This window comes from Homo sapiens, chromosome 7 (genome assembly GCF_000001405.40).
Source record: "Homo sapiens chromosome 7, GRCh38.p14 Primary Assembly".
Taxonomy (NCBI): domain Eukaryota; kingdom Metazoa; phylum Chordata; class Mammalia; order Primates; family Hominidae; genus Homo; species Homo sapiens.
In genome coordinates this window covers 39062401-39085228 of record NC_000007.14, presented here as the reverse complement: position 1 = coordinate 39085228, position 22828 = coordinate 39062401, and the positions used below count along the sequence as shown (strand labels likewise).

The following is a 22828-nucleotide window of genomic DNA, read 5'->3' as shown; positions in this document are numbered from 1 at the left end:
CTGACCCCAAATCAAATGAACATTTTAAAGCAAATAATACACAACACAATACACGAAAATTGATTTAAATTTTTTTTAAGGAATTGGGAAAATACTTACAAACTGTGTTCAATAATTCGGATACCTAGAGCATCGTACACCCAGAGCATTAAAGAAAAAGAAAACAAAAATCGCCTTCAGAAAAGACAAACTTTCCCCCCTAATTATTTAGATCTGCTTTATCTTCAGCTCATTAAGGAGGGCATTTTAGGATCAGAAATATTTTCCAAGTGTAGTCTTTTATTCCATTTGCAAACTGAGATGCATAATATTGTTTTGGCACAATATCGGATGCAGAAGGAAAGGAGAGCAAGAAGTGCCCTTTTTGCGAGATCTGGGAGCTATTTATTGCCAAGTTCATGCCTAAATGGTTCCTGAGCAGGAAACAGGTGACCAGCACAGAAGCAGGTGGGGCGGCATGCTCCCGGGTCCCACCATTGCATTGGTTGCGGTATGCCTGTGTTTTATTTTTTTTTAATGTATTCATGCTTGAAAAGTGAATTTGATATGACACATGATAATCTATGAAAATGTTAATCAATACAAATAGTTTAAGCTGTCATCAAATGCACTTCTTTAGTCAATACTCATACCATTGAAAACAATGTCACTGTCACCAGGGCTTAATTTACACAGCACTTAAATATTGGACTCTGTGCATCAATGCACTTCTTCTTCAAATACTGTAGGTAAACACATTTTCTCCCTATTTAAGGCTGAAGCACTCAGCACGCATTTAGCTGAGCCGAATCCTCCCTTTTGAATACCTTGATAGGTCCACTGGAGGGCAAAATTAATACTTAATTGAATCTCACAGTCATCAAAATAATCAATACTTTTTTATTATTTATTCTTTACAGTCTGTTGACTGTTTCAAACCTCTGAGGGAATGGTGGAAAGGATTCATGGCTTTGAAACACTGTCATTTAACAAGGTAATTTTCAGTGGGGCATTAGGGGTTGTGAAACATATAATAAAACAAAAATGGTGGCTTATAATAGGAAGAAAGAAAAGAATTATATTTCTGCCATCTAACAAAACAGGATAAATAAAAAAGCAAGTGCAGAGAGAGACAGCGAGAAAGGAGGGGGATGAGGGAGAGAGAAAGACTGGCTTTTGAAGGGTTTTATCATATCAAGAGCAGAGCCGAGCTTTCATAATGCTGACATTTCTCATCCTGACAATCCTAAACAAGTGGAAAGGATGAGATCGCAGATATCATCTTTCATCACATTCCCCAGCTTAAGAACCAACATGACAGCTCCTTTCCCCTTTACACTGTTAATTACTAAATAAAATACTACTCTCTGTCAGCACCAGATTATTGCAGATAGCAACCACAAACATTTCTCCATTGTTTTCCCCCCTCAGAAATGGTGATACCTACCTTGAACTCTTTAGAAAAGAAATTAGACTTGTCTCACCATATTGTAAATATTTGAAATATAATCAATGTAATCAATGCGGTCGATTCACAGTATTGTCAGCTTGAATTTGCTAGTGATAGATTTGCATTTTGTTTACTGGGTCTTGTTGCTGGGATTTGGAGCGCTTGAAACTTGGGGTAGATGGGGGAGGCAGGCAGAAGGGAAAAGAGACACACAATTCTCAAGATTTCTCTGGATCTCTTTCCTAAATATCTAAGAAAGCATGCATGTTCGAGTTCTGATTCAGTTGGTGGGTGGGTGGGTAGGGAAGGGAACAACGCTCATTGGTTGACCTCGTGGCATTCCTAAGTATACTCGTCATGTGATGTCAAGATCCCAGGCTTACATTCTAGTCCACTCTTTTTACTTTTTAAAAGGTTGAATCCTCAGTCTCTCTAATCTAGAGGAAGGGGTGTGACCTATACCTTTAAGACACCCAGTCTCTGTCACTGTACTGCTCATCTGAGCATTTTTTAAGATAATGTTAATGATAAACTTATGTTGAGAATAGCAGTCTTATGATAAAACAGACATGATTATTAATGTGCCAGTGAATATCTGGGTAAACTTAAGAAAGAATATTCTACTCTTGCCTTATTTGTGAAGGGTCAAACTGAATCCCGAATCACACTGACGAGCTGAAATGCAGCTGCTGAGTTCAAGTGTACTTAAATCTTTAAGATGTTCTGTCTGGCTGATGTGTGCAAAACATGCACTGGCAGATGGTATATGTTCACTGACCATTAGCTCTTCTTCCTTAAATTACTTTTATGTACCTCATACATGGCTAGGTTCCCAACTAGTGCCTCTCACCAACTTGAGCTTTGAAAATCCAAGAGTTTGTCATTCAAGTACTCATTTAATTTTTTTTGTCTTACAAAACACTTTACGTTTTCCATAATGCAGCTCTAGCCCATATATATATTTGTGTGTGTGTGTGTGTGTGTGTGTGTGTGTGTGTGTGTGTGCATGACATGGTTAAACAGCAAACCCCTAGTGAGGCAGAGAGCAGACAGCTTTTAATCACAGCTGCAGCCACTGGGGGGTCCATTTGAAAATGTGTCACAAGCAGTAACCAGTGAGTACAGACTTATAAGTGATGGGGGAGTGCCTCTTTCAAGTAGCACTCGGCTTGGAAGTCATTCTCTCTCTGCCAAGAGCCATAGCAGTCTGTGAAATCCTTTCTGTCGTAGTGAAGAGAGGATTTTCCAACATGCATCTACGTAGGTGCTTGTAGAAATGTAAGAGACCTGCAACTTCAACCTGTACAAGGATCTCTGCAGCGGTAAACAGGAACAGAAGTAGCTAGTGCAGGTGAGAAGTAAAATAGAGCTGATGAAGTTTCTTACTTGAAACTCTGAAATTGTTACTATCACAATAGAAGATGTTGAGACTTCTTTGCAATTCATTTATCAATCCCGACAGAAGAAAGTGACTAGTCCACCATGGAACAGTATTGCATGTGTGCAATAGGATGTGGCATGTGCCAATACAGGACACTCACGGGGCCATCAGAGACCCAAGAACCAGACGGTGGAAAAAGGAGAAGCAGAAGTAGTTTCTATTAGCAAAATCACAACAAAAATTTTCACCGTGTCCTACAAAGAGAGGATTGCAATCTCCATCAGAAACTACACAGTGATTATCTGTCTCCTTCAAGCATTATGAAGGAATAAATATAGGTCCCACTTATTGAATGCCTTTACCAGACAGTCTCCTCAGATGGATCTAATGTTACCCCAGCTATGCAAGGTATTAGCCCCATTGTATGGGTAAGAGACGGAGGCTCAGTGGGCTAAATTTCTTGCCCCAAAGGCACGCAGCTAAGTGGTAAAGCTGCATTTTCAAACCTGGCCAATTCATCTCCAAAAGTCAGCACCTTTTTTACCCAGTAGGCGTTGAGTGAAAAATTCAAGGCTTATGGACTTAGTAATTCATGGGGTATCCCAGATTTTGGATGATGAGCCAGAGCCAGTGGCTGTGAAGGGTGTTAAAGCCTGGATAACCTAGTCCCAGACATACTGTGTGTAGTATTATCTTCCCTACAGAATGTAGGAACAAAACAGCTCTCTGGCTGACATTGCTTGAATGAAGTCTATGGGGCAATATGGTATAGTAGACAGGACATCAGATAGTGTTCAATACCCAGGCTTGCATTCAGCTTCACCCTCTAGATAAACATGGCAAGCCACTTAACCACCTTTGGCCTTGGTTTTCTTGTCTAGAAAATGAAAAGGCTATAATAAAACAATATTTCCCAAAGTACATTCCACAAAACACTTGCCCCAAAAGATACTCTACAATGAAAGAGTTCTGCAGTCATACCCATGTGGAAAACTCAGCAGGGAAGTCTACCAGGAAAGAAGTCGATCTAACTTTCTTATTCTAGCACTTTCCCAAGATTATCTGACCATGGGAGGTCTTTGCCTTATAACTCTTATATTATCTAATAGATCTGGAATGGGCAAGGTTCGATTATCTGTAAATTACTGCACTAATTTTTAATGATTCTATAATACTAAACTCAAACACTTCTACAAGTACATATTTGTGTAGTGCTTCTCACATTCTAACAACTTTTACCTAATTAATGTTTCTTAGTTTATTTATGTGTAGTTAGCATATATGATATATGATTTACTATATACTAACCATATATACTGTCATTATATGCTAACTTCTGATGTACTTTCATATAATTTTTAAATAGAGATGTCCCAGTGTACTTCTATCATAAAGCCTTTAAAGAGTAGATATGGGGTACTGTATTAAGAAGGAGAATTCATCTTGGGCTTTGTGTTTTTTTAACCACGCTGCTAAAAATAATACCACATAAACAAATATGTAATTTGGCTAAAGACCTTCAATAATTTAACCAACAGAGTTTTGATAAGCATATTCATTCTCATTTTATAGTCGGAGAAACTAAAGATAGCGAGATAATTAACTCAGCAAAGCATCCGTGTCCAGTGGCAGCCACATGATGGAAATACCCACATCTCTCTACACTGAGCTTGAAAGAGGTCCAGCATATTTTTATGTACGTGCAAACTAATGATGAAACAGTCCATCAGAACAGCTTTGAGGAAAATGCAAATAACACAGGCAGGCTTCAAAAATCCAGGGAAACAATTCATTTGGTTGTGAAGCACTCAAGTATGGTAAAGTTATACAATACACAACAGATTTATTCCTAGAATTCAATAGAAAAATTGCATTCATTATAAAGAAAAAAAATGTATTGGATTTTCCCTCCTCTCAAAATGCTACATTTCAACTTGGGAGAAAGGATAGAAACAAATTACCTACATCCAATTTAAGATGCAAACACACCGTCATATTTTGTGTTTAGTTTTTCCCACGGAGAAGAGGTAAAAATTGAAATCAAAAAGAATTAAGAGGAAGAAACAAGGCGTTGGTAGGTTTGGGGAAAGGGTAACTTCAAGTATGAATATCATTACCTTAGTCATGAAGAAAAACAAACTTTCTTTTATTAATTACCAAATATTATTAATTAGTTTAGCTCTTGATATGATATTTAATATGAGTATTTCTCCCAAAAGTTATAAAACATTTCTAATTTTTCATCATTCAATATTTCCTTACCTTTTCAGGACTTTTTTAAAATAAGAACTTCTATTTGACTTTCTGAAATAAGACCATATTTTATTTTTATGTGTTTTTTATTGACGTAAGTATACGTATTTATTGTAGAACATTTTGAAAATTTGGGAAGATCAAAGAAGGATGCTAAAAGTATTATAAATTCACCCACAACGGATTATTTTATTTTAAATTTCACTTTTTGGGCTGCAAACAAAAATTATTTTGGAAAAAAAGTGGAAAATCCCACATTTCTGGCAAATATTCAACAGACAAAAATTTCCATTATAATGCACTTCACTATAAAGCGTATACATGCACACCTTTGATTGCTCCACAGTAGATTTTCACAGCCAAATATTGATCCCAGCATGCACTTCCTTCCTCAACTCAACATTCCCAACTGCTATCTCTTTCTCTGTGTCTCTCCATTTTGCAGTTAGTGTGGCTGAAATTTTCTTTAATCCTATCCCAAAATATATAAGATTTCTGTGAAAATCAAGCAGGACATTCAAAATTAAAAATAAATGCTGCGTTTAACAGTGGCATACTAAAGAGGGGACCCCATGGATATTGCTTGTTTTAGCGCTAATTACTGGCAGGACCATGAATTGCTCTCTCTTCCATCTTGGTTCCCATACCAATGTGGCTTTCTATATCCCGTGAAGGATATTGTGAGACTTGGCCGGGCACGGTGGCTTAAGCCTGTAATCCCAGCACTTTGGGAGGCCTAGGCGGGCGGATCAGAAGGTCAGGACTGCGAGACCAGTCTGGCCAACACGGTGGAACTAAAAATACAAAAAATTAGTGGGGCGTGGTTGCGGGCGCCTGTAATCCCAGCTACTCGGGAGGCTAAGGCAGGAGAATCGCTTGAACTTGGGAGGCGGAGGTTGCAGTGAGCTGAGATCGCACCACTGCACTCCAGCCTGGGTGACAGGGTGAGACTCCGTCTCGGAAAAAAAAAAAAAAAAAAAAAAAAGATATTGTGAGACTCAAGTGAGATAATGTACAGATAATGTGTATGAATATGTTTTGAAAGATATAAAAGTATTACACAAATAGACTATTTTCTACAATACCGCTTCCCACATTAAGGTATCTAACTGACTGGGAGTTACTTTTCTCTCCACACTCTCAGTTTGGAGCACGAGTCACCAAATCATTGAAGTTGAAGACTCAAATAGATGCTGTAGGGGATGCTGTGGGGTACTGCCCAGATCCTCCCTTTATTTTTTATTTTTTGAGAAGGAGTCTTGCTCTGTCGCCAGGCTGGAGTGCAATGGCGCCTTTAGAACCAAGGCACTCATTTCCCAGTAGCCAGGCATGTTGCCCCTCAATGGCTCACAGCAGAGGAGTCCTTTCTCAGGAATTGCTCCTGCCTGAAAGTAGCTGCCTCTCTCAAGGTCATATCTGTTCCTCTGGGGCAGCCTGGATTTTGCTTTATGGCCTGCAAAGCCTGAAATATTTACCATTTACCTCTTTACAGAAAAAGTTTGCTGACCCGTGAGCTCCGCCCCAGGTTTGATCAGTTGCCTTAATTGATATTCATGCTCCAATACTAGCGTTCAATCACAAAAGCCACATTCCAGGCGTGGCCACTACAAACACAGTTCACTGACCACCACTCCTTCACCCTGCATTTTGCTGCTTAGTATCATTTATATTAATTTGGGTAGAATTAGTACCTTATTGACCAGCATTAATGGAGGTTAGAAATGGGTTCTCATTTGGTTAAATTAGTCATATTCAAAATATGTGTATTGGCTAAAATATTTTGGAGACCTTCCCCACCTTTGTATGCAAGCAGAGAATATTAATGGTCTAGCAAGTGTTTTTGCCTGTGCTTATAGATCTTGCTCCTAGAACTTTGCCATATCTACCTTAATGAACCTTCATGCAAGGTATGCTAGATTCATCTAAAATGACAGAGAACTATGACTTCATTAAGCTTTCAGACAAGTCAAGTAAACTATTTGGAAATAATTGGCAATAAAAGCGTGTTTAATAAATATCTGAATGTGTGGCAGCTCTTGGTCTGAGAGCTTGTTTTCATCATAACCAGAATGCAAGGCTTTGAGGACGATGTAGCAAACCCTCACTCATCTCTAACCATATGGTAGTTTTGGTGGCCTACCATTATCTACCAAAAATAACCTAATAGTTGTGCATACAAGTGTTGCCCCAGGCCATCTGCAACACAACCCACTGCACCGGGTGATGACCCCTAGTCAGATGAACACTGTATTAGAGGCAAGCAAGCTAGTTACACGGTAAAATAAGGTCTAGAGCTTCTGTTAAAAGGATGTCCTAGGCAAATTATACTATTTGCTATTCCCACTAATCCCCAATACTTTATCTAGGGAATATTTGGTTAAGGTGAATGTCCAGAATCATCTTGAAAGAAAAAAAATAATACAGCAAATATAGGATTTCCTTCGGTGTAACAGGATGCTATTTCATTACTAACAATGAGTGTGCACATATGGGCAGTTTAAGGGTCTCTTGTCTTTTTGTTGAACCTCAGATAAGTGTCCTCCTCTCCTGTCAGTATCCACACAGGGTCTCTATCCCTCTCCAAGTCCCACCATGAATGCCACGTCCTCTTAACTATGCTTATACTCTAGAGCCTACTCCAATTGATAATGAAAACAGATGCAGCTGTATTTAAACACAGACAAGCAATTAAGCCAAACCGCTCATCAATGCAAACCTGTAGACTGAAATAACAACATAACAATCAATCAGACAGGAGTTTGCCAGTTCTGGACTTCTACAAAGTATCTAGCACACAGTTGGACACACCTCCTCGGAATCCTCACCTTGAACCTCTACAAGCTTCTTTGGCCCTAGGAGGTTAAAATGACTGTATGAACCATGCTTCATGTATACTTATCTGGGAAGAAAGGGAGACACTGGTATTGACAACCTAATAGCACCATCAATTCAATTTCTGCTGCCTTTATGAAAAAGCATCAATATGAGTTCAATCCAGGCTCATCTAGATCTGGTCTTTTGGTAATGGGGTTATACAGCAGTATTGACATTGCATACGCATACCCTATATTCATACACTCTTCATAATCTGATGGCTTCAAATAGCTATCAGGATTTAATCAGAATACAACACAGATTAAAGTGAATTTACATTTAGCAATTTGAATGTAGAGTTGCTTGGGAGTTACAAAGAGAGAACATCTGATCTCTGTCCTAAAAAGAGCTTACTTTCTAGCATCTTAAAAACTCTAGCAGAGACTGTTAATTAATGTGTGTGTGTGTGTGTGTGTGTGTGTATCTCAACATTTGCAACCTTTTGCAAAAGTGAGATAGTTTCCAGAATGGAAAGACCTGTTCTCTAGTCCCAGCATTTTAAAACTGCTCTGAGAAGCCCTGAGGGTTTTAGAGAGGTGCCTCCAGGACCTCAAAGGGAGATAGGGGAAGACCTAAGTGCCCACTCCCAGTTTTTGAGACCATATTGGCTCCTCCCATCTATTTTACATGGAGTCTTTAGTGTACTTGAGGAAAGCGTTCCACAGATCTGCCCATATTGCATATTGGCAATGCATCACAGATGCGATAACAATCATGATACTTTGTCTGTTAGCTAACCATTTTCTTTTTCTTTTTCTTTTTAAAAATATAATTTATTTTTAGTTTAAGTTCCAGGATACATGTGCAGGACGTGCAGGTTTGTTACATAGGTAAATGCGTGCCACGAGGGTTTGCTGCACCTATCAATGATTTACTTTTCCAAAACACTTAGGTGTTAGACCCTACAGCTGAGATGTTTGAGTCCCTGGCAGGCAGACATGTGTTGAAATTCCCAGTACTGGGCACTATGTCTGATACAAAATAGGCTCTCAGTAAGTGTGTTTGACTGGTTGATTGATAGGAAGGAAGGAAGGAAGGGAGGGAATGGAAGGGAGGAAAAGGAAGGAATGGAAGGAAGGAGAGAGGAAAGGAAAGGAAGAGAAGGGAAGGGAAGGGAGAAAAGGGAGAAAGGAAAGGAAAAAGGGAAGTTCAGAGCAAAGGTTAGCTTTGGTTGATATTTTCAGCATACATTCAGCTGTGTCTGAAACTACATAATATGAAGCCGAGGCCTCACCCAGCTATCTTACCTCTCTGACTCTGCACACACATACATACTGACCCATATGCTGCTTCCAGAAACAGAAGTGAGTTCAGCTTGTGTGACTGCATTACTTGTAACACAGGACAAGATGGAAGAATGTCATAGCTACACTGGAAAGGAAAAGGAAAGTCTCATTTTCCCCCAGGACTGAAGTTGAATGGGAGAAGAGCTACTACCAAGCTAGTCCGGGGATTAGTCCAACAAAGCAAAGGCAGTAGAGCCCCAGGGGAACCCAGGTGTGCACAGAGACCACGCCCCAAGGGCTCAGCCTTTGGGCTCTGTCTCCTTGTTCAGCTGGAAGCATCTTCATGTCACTGAGGGAAGCTGGCCACTGCCAGCACTACTACAGCACTAACTGTGGTCCCAGCCTCCCTGTGGCCTTCAGGAGCAGTATCATCAAACACACAGCGTATTAGAAGCGTGATTTTACTACAAGTGTTCTCTTGGTAGGATTTTTCTTAGAAGAAGAAGAGATTTATTTAAATGAATATTACATGAAATATGTGTATACATCTAATCCTGTCCTTCTGTTCTGATGACAAAGTTGAGAAGAAAAACTTTTTCTTCAAAAACCATCCAGCTCTTTATGGTTTCAGATTTCCATAAATAAATACAAAAATCCATCCTGCCCCCTGCTGACAGACTAATATTCCTAAAAATCCAGCTCAAAACTTGACTGTTTCCAGAGTAGTTTCTGAGTTGGGCCAGAACTCCAACCCACCATGCCAGGCCCTCCCCATTTGGAGCCTGGTCTAGCTTTCTTGGGCTGTGACATTGGACCGGGCACTTCAACACCAGGGAATGTGTTGTTCACATTATAATGATGGTAAAATTGCTAAGACAATTTTCTGTCATGTGGCAATTAAGTGTCCAGGTGCTTCCTGGTCTAGCTCCAAAGAGATGCCTTTTGACCTATAACAGACAGTCTGTGGCCAGCCTCACCTGCGACCTCGAACAGCCCCACACCCCAGTCCCACGGTGCCAGAGTGGGTGCTTGGGAACTGGAGCCCAAGAGCCTGTAGTTGGGTTCACCTTCTACTCACTGAAGGGCACAGTTCTCTGAGCCTTCATTTTCCCGAGAGGAAAATGGGGTAATAACAGTATATGCCTCATGGGATGGATGGGTTAGCAGATTAAATAAATAATTCACAAACAGTGCTCATAGCAGGCCGACTGCTTAGTAATAATAAGAAATTTTGATATTGCTTGCTCCCTGCTGTCCGCGACCCTTCCGACAAAGTGTGACTGTTTGTGTAGTTTATTGTGGAGAAGCTCCTTAGCCTTCATCAGATTTTAAAGGGATTCATGATCTGCTGCCTGATCTGCTCCCCACCCCACATCCCACCAAAAAAATTCAACAAGAAACCACTGCTAAAAAGGATACACTATCTTTATATCCACACACTTCAAATATTAGGACAGTGCTGGGCACATAATAAACTCTCACTAAATATCTATTGCTTTCATTTGAAAAACAAAAATAAGAATTGATATCTATAAAAGATAAAAGAAGAAAGACATTTTTTAAATTTAGATTTTTTTTTTTGAGGGGGGGACAAGTCTCACTCTGTCGTCCAGGCTGGAGTGCAGTGGCGTGATCTCGGCTCACTGCAACCTCTGCCTTCCGTGTTCAAGCAATTCTCCTGCCTCAGCCTCCCAAGTAGCTGGGACTACGCCTGCCACCACACCCAGCTAATTTTTTGTATTTTAGTAGAGATGGGATGTCACTATGTTGGCCAGACAGGTCTCGAACTCCTGACCTCAGGTGATCCACCCGCCTCAGCCTCGCAAAGTGCTGGGATTACAGGTGTGAGCCATTACGCCCAGCTAATTTTTTGTATTTTAGTAGAGATGGGGCTTCACTGTGTTGCCCTGGCTGGTCTCGAACTCTGGAGCTCAGGCAATCTGCCAGTCATGGGCTCTTAAAGTTCTAGGATTACAGGCGTAAGCCACCATGCCCGGCCAATTTAGATTTTTAAAAATAAAATTACTCAGAAGTCTTTTGAGAAGGAAACTCTATAAATCCTAACATCTTATGATTTTAAGAAATAAGTAACTATCAGGAGGCTGTAAATTCTGTAGAATTTTCTCTCTGAATTAAAACAGTATCTGGCTTTTAATTCTACAAGGTTCACAACTCCACATTCTCTAAATAAGCCAGTCCACTTCTGTTCAAAAGGCCACTGCCTAATTGATTTCACCAATAAGTGTTTTCCTTCCCTCTGTTCCCAAGCTGCAATAGCACACGCTGGGAACTGCTAATGTGGCTTGGTTGCTCCAGCGTTGCTTCCTGTGCTTCCCAGCAGTCTGGGCAGCTTTCTCTTGGCCAGCACCAGATACTATGGAGTTTTCCTCTCGTTCTCTGCCTTGGGTCTGTACACGGCTGCGCCCAGCGCCAGCTGCTCCGTCCCTCCCTCTCTTGTAATCCACTCTCCTTTAATATTCCAAGGGTGACCCTTGACTGTCCTTTGAATGCCACTCCAATTCAAAAGGCTTCTGAGCTTTTAAGACGAGCAGAGATAACATAATTCCAAGGAGATGGGGGTGGGGAGGAAGGAAGAATGTGATTGGAAAGATTAGCTAAATCTTCTCATTCCTGGGGATTTGGCTGCTCAGGAAAACATGAACTAGAAGGTTTTTTTTTTTTTTTTTTTAATAGGTTCTCCCCATTCCGTCAGCTATCTGTATTAGCTCCTATTAAAAATATTTTGCAGATTTGTTTCCAATTCAAACTATAAACAGAGGCTTAAGTAAATATTTCTTTAAATCTCTAGCCTTTGAAATTGAGGGCAATTAAAAAACCAGGCCAGCCTTTATTAATATTTACTTACATCCTCTTTAGTTTGCATGGATTGGGGATGGCTCTGAATCAGAGCCTACTTAAGACAAAACTGATGCAATTCAACAAATATTTATTGACAGTTCATCAGTACCAGGTGTTGTGCTAGGGACAATGAGAAATGTAAAGATCTAGAAACATTAGCTACCATAAAAAAAGTCACCATCTAGTAGACATCAGCAAAGGGAAGAGAGTAATTGTATTCGGCATCTTCTTTGTGCCTGTCTACTTTCACAGTAATAACATTTTCTTAGCACCCTGATCATGTTTACGCAATGTGTTCTATGTATGTAGATTAGGCATGTGCACACACAAACACAATGCCCTCTCTTGGAAGCACTGTCTTGACCTCATCATGGTTGCTAATAAATAAACATGTCGCTCCACGCAGGGAGTTTTGACTGGTTTTCTAGGCTTTGTTTCTCATTTTAGGGAGATAATCGGCAACTGACAACCCACCATCTCACACTCTGAAGCTCACACAGTGAAACGAGGTTTCCACACAGCCATTCAAGATTGGCACTGCTGGATGGAACAGATGAAGCATCTGAGTTGCTGTTTCTCCCTGCGTATTTGTAAAGAATTGCTGACTTAATATCCTCAAGCACCTAGAATGGCTAACGTGTTGTCAAGGGGAAAATCAGACCCATTTTAACAAGTCAGTAAGACACCTTCATAAAAGCATGTAAAAACAGGTGAGCCGAAGTCTTCATAAACAATTGGCTCTGTTAAGTGGGTTTAGGGGCTTATCCCATATCCACTTGCTAACATTAATTTGCTTAGACAAATTGTTTAAGGGAAAAATGCATCATAGATTGAAGAAAGACAACAACTCAATGCTGACTGAATTACCCAAATTTTAATATGTAAGCGAGGTCTGTTCCTATGAACTGATGTACCTGTGCCCCAAGAAAGCTTGATCCTCCACGGCTGGAATTTAGCCTCATTACACAATCAATCCTCTTTCATGCTACTCCACTGAGCTTCTGCACTATAACTCCACAGGGGCATGCACTTTGCCTGAAAAGTTTTCTGTTTCCCCACAACACAAATGAGAGATGAAATATTGCTGGGTTCTCCTACTTTCTCTCATACCTCAACTACAAGGGCCCATGTATCTACCTTTCTCCATGCAGCTGGTTCCTGTCCTGATGCCCTGTGAGATTTGAGCTCTGTCTGCAAGTCTTGCCCTTGGTGTTCCAATCTTGTGAGTACTTATTTCCTTAGTATGCCAAGCAAAACTCTAATCAAGCCTGCTGAATACTTCGTTAAAGTAAATCAGCAAGAAATCATCTTTTGAATTAAAATAAGCAGAAAAATCCGAATTAGTGTTAAGATAAACGAGGAAATAAATGCCCAAATTTTGATATAAAAATAGTCAACCTCAATAGACTTTTAAACCCTGAATACATTTTTAAAATCCAGTGGAAAACAGTTTGATTTGTTGTTGCACAAAGACTGTTAGAAATTTTTTCTCATTTAACTTTGATATTGTGTGTGTGTGTGTGTGTGTGTGTGTGTGTGTGTGTGTGTGTGTTTCTTTAGAGATGGGGTTTCACCATGTTGCCTGGGCTGGTCTTGAACTCCTGGGTTCAAGTGATCCTCCCACCTCAGCTTCCCAAAGTGCTGGGATTACAGGTGTCAGTCACCATACCTGGCTTTGGTAGTGTTTTTAATGTTATTTATTTATCCAACATGCTTATTGAGTGAGTACTATATGCCAAGGGTCCCCAACCCTTGGGCCACAGACCAGTCTGTGGCCTGTTAGGAACTGGGCCACACAGCAGGAGGAGAGCGGTGGGCAAGCAAGTGAAACTTCATCTGTATTTATAGCCACTCCCCATAGCTCGCATTACCACCTGAGCTCTGCCTCCTGTCGGATCACTGGTGGCATTAGATTCTCGTAGGAGCACAAACCCTATTTGAACTGCATGTGTGAGGGATCTCGGTAGCCCATTCCTTGTGAGAATCTAATGCCTGATGATCTGTCACTGTCTTCCATCACCCCAAGATGGGACCTTCTAGTTGCAGGAAAACAAGCTCAGGGCTCCCACTGATTCTATATTATGGTGAGTTATATAATTATTTCATTATATATTACAATGTAATAATAATACAAGAAATAAAATGCACAATATATGTAATGTGCTTGAATCATCCTGAAACTGTCCTCAGTCTATGGAAAAATTGTCTTCCATGAAACCAGTCCCTCGTGCCAAAAACGGGGACCACTGCTATATACCATCCACTCCTCTAAGTGATGGGAACACCTCATTGAACAAGACAGATCAAGTCCAGGGCCCTCTTGCAGCTAAAATTACAGTGGGAGAGACAGGCAAAAGCGAAATAAGTAAATACGATGTTGAGTAGTAACGAGTATTATGAACAAAAACAAAGCAGGGCATAGGGTGACCTGGAGGGGTGTGGGTATGTAACTTACATAAGGCGATCAGAGAGGTCTCACAGTGAAGGGACCCGTGGGCACAGCCACAGTGCCTGAGGGGAAGGGCATGTGAGCATCACAAGGCCATGTGGAGGGAAAGGCCCTGCGCTGGAGGCCTGTTTAGTGCCCTCTTGGGGAGAGGAGGCTGGTGGGGCTGAGAAGTGGGTGGGCATGGGTGCTAGAGAAGTGGCCCATGGCCAGATCTAGTAGGCCATTTTTTGGCCATTGCAAGGACGTGGAATTTAATTCCAATCATGAGAGAAAACCACTTGAGGGTTTTGGGCAAGGCATGACAAGGTCTGATGTGCCTTCCAAAAGGCTGCTTTGTGGGGAGGCAAAAGCAGAAGTGTGGAGGCAAAAGCAGAAGTGTGGAGGGAGATGCCTGGTAGTTTAAGCACTAGACACATTTTGAATTAGAAATAAAAGATTTTAAAAGGTTTACTGGGCCATAAAAAAGCTGTTATTCTCATAGAACTAGGGAAAAAATTCAATAACCCATATCTTACGAAAATTCAAATTTAAGTCATTTTTTTCTTACTATCTTACCACAACGGTCTTTATATCAACCAAATTCCTTTTGAGAATCAAATAAATCATCTCTCAGCTTTAGCTGCCTTTGCAGAACCAGTACTGGCTGCTTCCTTCTTGCCTGTCAGGCTTAATTGGATTATTACCAAAGCTCCCTGGGCACGTGTGGCCAGTGAGGAAGGGAGTGAGTCCCTAACATCACTGAAGTCTGTTCTTCCTGACTCTGGACTAGCTCCCAGCGCAGTCTTAAAAAAGCCACTTTAACTTATCTGAATACAGCTGACCCTTGAATTACACAGGTCTGCACCACAAGGGTCCACTGATACGTGAATTTTCTCCTGCATCTGCCACCCCTGAAACAGCAAAACTGGCTTCTACCCTTCCTCCTCCTCCTCAACCTACTCAAAGTGAAGAGGACAAAGATGAATACGTTTATGATAATCCACCTGTACTTAATAAATAGCAAATATATTTTCTTTTCCTTAAGATTTTCTTAATAACCTTTTCTTTTCTAGCTTACTTTATTGTAATAATCCAGTATATAATACATATAACATACTAAATAAGTGTTAATCGAATGTTTATGTTATTGGTAAGGCTTTTGGTCAACAGTAGGCTATTGGCAGTTACGTTTTTGGGGAGTCAAAAGTTGCATGTGGATTTTGCACTGCAAGGAGATTGATGCCCCAACCCCTGTGCTGCTCAAGGGTCAATTTTATTTCCTTCAGCTAAAATAAAATCTGTCACTTCCCAGTGGGACTTAAAAACCATGCACGGTCTTGAGCTCGTCAGAAAATGAATATCACCTGCGGGACTCTCCGGGCATGAAAGCCCTTCCTCACAGCCTGGGCATCAGCCCGGAAAAGCCCTCTGCTCCACCTTCCCAAGCAAGTCTCTTCTCTAACACTCAGTCCCTGGCATTCTGGGCTTTTTGACCTAGTCTCACATGATAAAAAGCCCCTTTTCAGCTGCTAATGGTTTGTACTGACCTCAGTTTAGGGACCGCTGCTTCTAAGAGCCCTTGTCTCAATGCAGCTTTTAGCTCTGTGGTGACACTGGCAAGGAGCTTGTGCTTTTTAAGTCTCAACTTCAATCCTCCCCACCCATTGTCAACTATTCTAAGCCACTCAAACCCACAGTGGGCAATGTCGCAGAGGTTCTATATTCTGTACAGAAGGCAGATGCTTGGTCCACTCTCCACAATTTTTATGTGTGATCCGCAGGTCCTGTGGATCAGAACCCCAGGGGAGTCAGGGGGTTAAATATAGATTTCCGGATCCTTCCTCAAACTGCTAAATAAGAATCTCACAGGGCAGGGCTCAGCAATCTATGCTTTTAATACGTTCCTTGGAAAATTTTTATGAATGCTAAACAGTGGGAACCCCTATCCTAAAGATATATTCTGAGGAATCAGAAAAGAAGAGTTATCAAGTTTCCCAGCATTTCCAAAGAAAGCAGGCCACAGCAATACACAGCTTTGTAGTAACTTCTAAATAGAAGAAAACTTTTCATGAGTTCCTGTTATTCTGTCCTCTGGGCTATAAAATTTGGAGTCTTGAGCTATTTATTTCATATTCTTTATATTTCAGACTCTATCATTTAACCTTTCAAAATTGCTCTTCAACTTGACAGTCTACATTTATTTTTTAAAGCCATATTTTCCCTGAGTTTTAGTTTAGGATTATGGAACTTACTGTAGACATTTATGAAAATTATATATATATATATATGCATGTACTAGGTGTATATATAATCTCTGTTATCTTTCTTGGTGTTTTTAGAATCAGACTGCATGTACAAGTTAGCATCCTGCTTTTATAATTCACTTTTTCATTCAATAAATATTTATTAAGGGCCTAATATGTGCTTCCAACTAGGTCTTGGACAGTGGTCTTTAAAATGAGGCCTGTGCACGTTAGGGGATGTTGCGAGACAGGGCACTGATGTACAGTGAGAAAGTATTAGAATTTCTCCTCTTATTTCACTTCTTGTAATTTTATTTTGTGTGTGTTTTTTAGTGGCAAAAATGTATGCTATAAAAAGAACTACATAGATAAATATCAATATATTAAGAGTGCATGGTAAAAATTATTTTCATTGATAAGGCTGGGCTATCAAAAAACCAGGCAATCTCTTGATTTAAGATGTGTCCAATTAGTCACACAAAAAATAAAATTTTGACAGTTTTAAATACATTCTCAGGAGTGAAATTACGGGTTAAAAGAACGTGGACCATTGCCAAATTGCCTTCAAGATCAGGTGGTGGAAAATTTATGTTCTCAGTGTATGAGAAAGCCTCTCTTTTGTATTATCCTTAAAATTTTTTTCTAACCTATTAGATGGAAAGTGGCATTTTATTAATGTTTTAATTTGCATCTCATTACCAAGGTTAAATTTTTCAAGTTTATTAGCTAATTAAGTTTCTTCTTTTATAAATTACTCACATCCTTTACCTGTCTTTCCACTGGGGGTCTAAGTATTTTTCTCATTGAACTTTATATAGATTTATAAAAGCAATAATTATAAAAATGTAATAACTGACATTTATTGTGTTGCACACTGCCTGGGCTATAAATACATACTTGATTTTGACACCTTGCAACAACAAAGACTGGTATTGTTATTTTCCCCATTTTATTGATGATGACATTGAGATTAGTGAAAATTAAAATGTAATTTAGCTGTAATTCTGATTCCAAATTGTATGCATCCCAAATATTTTTTCTAGAATTTGTTATTTCCGTTTGATTTTTATTAATGTTAGTTTTTAAAAAAGATTTTAAAATTTTTATCCAGTCATATTTAACCTTTATGTTTTATTTTATTACTTTTATGAAAAGAAATCACTTCCCTGTCCACAAAAAGACATGCATATACACCCATTTTTAAATTTCCTATTATTTTAGTTTAAAAATAATTCTATAGTCTCTGGAATTTGAATGGGTATATGGCATTAAATGCAAATCTCACGTCTTCCCAAATAATCAAATTTTAGAGCATAATTAGTTGAATAATCCATTGGCATATTATGCTTGCTTTTTTTTTTTTTTAGTCAAAGTAAGTTCTAATGAAATTCCAGGTCTATTTTTGAACCATATATAGTGTGATGATATATAATGCCATATATATGTGTGTATACGTTAAGTGTATATATATGCCATATACATAATATATACATTTTATATTTCTAAATATGATTTATAAATAAGTATATTAATATATGAATTATATACAATGCATATATATGATGATGTATAATGCATATATTTTAATGGTATATTTCTGTTATATTAATATGTTATAATAATATGATATTATATATTATATAATACACTATATATAATGCATAATATGCTACATATATTATATAACCTATATAATAGGGCAAAAATCATCTATATGCTATTCTTCTTTGTCAAAAACGTCTTAGATATTCTCAGCTCTTTATTTCCCAGATGAACTTTAGAATCATTTTGTCAAATTCTAAAATAAAAAGGGGGGGAATAAATGTCATCTTTATAATATTCAGTGTTACCATCAACACTTGCTTCTTCTATTTATTTAAATTTTATTTTATTATTATCAGGAAGATGTTGTCATTTCCTCCATACCTGCTACAGACATTTTTGTTTTAAAATTTCCAAATATTTTATGTGTTGTTTATATTGTGAATGAAATCAATTTCTTTTTCTATAATCAAGTTATATGTGGTCATTGCTCTTATATAGAAAAGCTATTGAGTTTTCGGTTGATTCTCTTAGGACTGTACACATATATATTCCTATTTTTATCAAATTAAAATAGATGTCCCCTTTTCACTATTTATGGCTATTTCATATCTCATAACACTAAGCAAAATAATACTTAACAATAGTGATATAAGGCATTCTTGTCTTAGCCTTGATTTTAATTGGAATGCTTCTTGCATTTCACTGAAGTAAGATATTTGAAGCATATTTGGTGTTGGTTTAAGAGAGATTAGCTTTGTCAGGTAAGAAACTTCCAATTCATCCAAAAAAATTAAACCAGAAATGGCTGTTGTATTTTATCAGTTGTTTTCTTTTTTTCTTTCGAGTTAACCTAAAGTATCGTGCAGATAAGTTTCCTAATAGTAAAGCATCTTCGGATCCAGGAATATTCTGAGTTAACTGTCAAGCCGAATTTGGGTTTCAGAATATCTTATTGAGTATTTTGCATTGATACCTTTATAAATAAAACTAGTTTACAAGTTTTTTCAATTGCTCTGTTGTGGGTTAATATCAAGACAATTGGCTTATAAAATTATTCCAGTCCTTTTCAATATTTTTTTATCTCTGGAATAATTTATGAAGCATAAGAATATGTGTCTTTTGAAAATTTGAGATTATTTACTAGTAAAATTATCTGTACTAGCAGCCACATATTTTCTTTCTTTTTCCTCTTGGAGGGATTTTTAAATAATTTTATAATTTTACTATAGTAGTACCCTACTTATTTATTGGTCAATTTGGATCATTCATCTTTTCTTATAAATTCATCTATATACAAGATTTTCAAGTATATCCGAATGGAATTGTATGTTATATTATTTTATCACTTTAACATCCTTCATATTCATTGTTAAATCTTCTATCTCACTCATGCTTTTTTTCCCCTATTTTATGTTGTTTAGATTTAGCAAATATTTATTTTATTGGCTTTCTTTTTCAAAGACCTGTTACAATTATCAACTTAAAGAATTTGATTTCTTCTTTTATTTTCATTATCTTTCTACCCAATGTCTTTAAGCTTCTTGATTTTCACACTTTTGTGAATTTATTTATCCGTTTAAAAAATAATGAGAGAATGTAAGGTTATGAGTTTGTTCTATCTTGTGAATTATCATATTCATGTTTTAATACTTTTAAAATTAATAAATAGCCCATCCTGTGATGTTATTTTATTCTTTGACCCAACAGTTATTTTGGAGATGTTTTAAATTTAGTGGAGGGTTTTTACAAATTTGTTCTCTATTATTAATTTTTAATTGTAACCGATTATGGAAGAGACTGTGTTTTTGAATTCTTTTTTGGGAGAATTTATTAAGGCTTGTTTTATGGTCAGCTTTTAAATGATCTACAGATACGTAAGATCAAAGTATCTTCTATGTTTATAAGGGAGCCTAATATATAAATTAAACATCTGAAATTATGGTTTTAATTCTTTAAGTTATTATTTACTTTGTGTCTCCTTGGTCTAGCTAAAGTTGACCGATGAGTTAATATTTCTCACAATGCTGGTTTTTAATCAACTTCGCATTGACTTTCTAAGAATTTCTGCTTTATGTATTTTTAAGTCTTGTTATTTGATGTGTAATGTTTCAATTAGATGTCAATTGCATCTTCCCATCAATAGAAATGGAATTTTTATCATTTAGTACTTTTTGTCCTGAATTCTACTTTGGGTTTTTTTGTTTGAGTTTTACTGACAAATATTTGCTTCTTCTCTGATTTTTACCAGTTTTATGTCTTATTTTAGGTGTGTCTCTTATAACTAAGATGTCTGCTGTCATATTTTTAATGCAAAGTTGCTATTCATATCTTACAGAGAAATTTAAAACATTCATGTTTATTGCCATAATTAATATATTTGATCTTATTTTGATTACCTCAGTTGTTTTTGTAGTTTTATTATTATTTTCAGTTTAATTTTTATTTTTATTTTCTGTCATTCTGCTTCATTTGTCATTTGGAGTTTTTGTTTCTTTATGCGTCTCATTTGTTTTTTTGTTTCATTTGTGCATGTTTGTATTAATCTTTGCCAAAAATTTGAAAGTTTTATATTCTGCTTTTAGCTCTTCAAGTGGTAACTACTATTTTAAATACACTTACTAGCTTTTCATTTTCAACTCTCATAGTTGAGAATATAATGATATCATTGAAGCACCCTTTCTCAATGAAATGTGTGTTAAGAAAATGGGTTTCTGTAGCTTTATACAACCACCAACACACATCTCATTCTAAGTCTTTAATACAGAATTTTATATCAAATTTACTATTATTATAAAAATATTTTATACTCTAAAATGTTTTCTTTCAATATTATTTTGTATTTGTATTCAATTTCTTAACTAAATTTCTAAGTTATTCAGTCTGCTTCATATCTAATTGGCTTCAAAGTTCAGCAGCAATCCATTTACTTCACGATGTTCCTTTCCCTTAGTTCATTTTGATTCATCTCATCTGTCTTTTAGCAATTTTTTAAAAGAGATTATGTGGGTGGTGTATCAGCCGAATCCTTGTTTATCTGATAATGTATTTCTGTTGCCTTCACACATTAAAGGCGTCTTCACTAACTAAATTTGTTATATTGCTACTTTTGGCTCAAAATTCTATTGAGATTATTTAAGTGTCTACTGAAATTTATTTCCAAATGGGGATGTTTTGAAACTAATCTGCTGCTTGTTCTTTTACAAATAATATTTTTTTTCCTTGCTTCATGTTTATAAAATTATTGTTTCTTTTTGTCATTTAAAAAAAATGACCAAGATATCTCTAGGGTGGGTCTCTTTTCATTGATTTTCTTAGAACTGAGAGAACCCTCTCAATCTTGATTTCTCAGGGATTCCCCACCTCCATTTAACATTGCTTTAAATTCTTTTCTTCTAGTCTTCCAGAAGTCTTGCATTGTTCTTCATTCTCTGTCCTTCATATCCATTGTCTCTCTCATCCGTTTAAGCTCCTGTGGCTTTGTCTCTGTTTTGCAAGAGTTTTACGTGTTTCATTACACATTGGTTTAATTTGCCAGTGGAAGCCTATACTTTCATCTTCTAATGTGAATTTCGATTTGTCACTGAAATGCTTTCTTTCCTCAAGGAACTCCTTTTTTTGCATCTCACTCTGCTGTCTTTCCTCTTAGCCCTATTTTCTGCTATAATTGTTGCCCAAGCTGATCTCGAACTCTCAGGCTCAAGTAATCCTCCTGCCTTGGCCTCCCAAGTGGTGGGATTACAGGCATGAGCTGCCACATCCGTTAAGTTCTTAAATACACATTTAAGGATGCCAAAGAATTTTCTAAAACCTTCTGATTTTTACCGTAAATCATATTTACAGGCTTGCTATTATAGAGCATTCATAATAATGTTTCTTTTTGTCTTGTAGCACCTTTATATGAGTCCAATATTCTTTTTTTCTGTGTATCTGTCCACCAGAAGAAAGCTATCCAGACTATCATTTACTTAGCTAATAAGTGACTTTGACCCCATTCCAGAAGCTCACTGAAGCTGATCGCCATGTCTGTTTCTCAGATCCACAGTGAACAGGAGTTTGTTAAAAATAATTCCTGATCTTATTCTCCCCACTCCTCCACCATCTCTTTTTTGGTAAAAAACAAACAAACAAACAAACAAACAAAAAACTCCTGGGCTCAAGCGATCCTCCTTCCTCGGCCTCCCAAAGTGCTGGGATTACAGGCATGAGTCAATGAACCCAGCCCCCCAGTATCTTCTAATATTTTTTCTTTGTCCCTTCTATGAGTGTTTCCCTCCAATGACCACTGTCACACTAATGATTATATATCTTTTAAGGTTTTATCTAGTATGGCTTTGCTGGACTAAAACTGGATCTTCTCCTCCCCTCTTCCTGACGCTCTGATGTTGCACATGACAAAGTACAATCACTAGTGTGCATTCTAGGGCTCTACTTGCAGCCAGGCCCACGAGGTGCTGTTGTGGCAACCTTCCTAGCTCAGGATGGAATGGGCAATTGCCTTCTACTCTCTACTTTCTATGTAGTCACTTTTGGCAATAACAAAGTCTAACTGTATATAAAAGGTAAGAAGTGGGTGGAAGGTAGATCGTGTTC

General features: G+C 37.8%; 1 protein-coding gene across 4 annotated transcripts in view; it reads right to left on the bottom strand.

The window, feature by feature from the left end:
* The window catches only part of POU6F2 (POU class 6 homeobox 2), a 490693-nt gene that overhangs the window by 383373 nt on the left and 84492 nt on the right, over positions 1–22828 (bottom strand). The window lies entirely within an intron of this gene.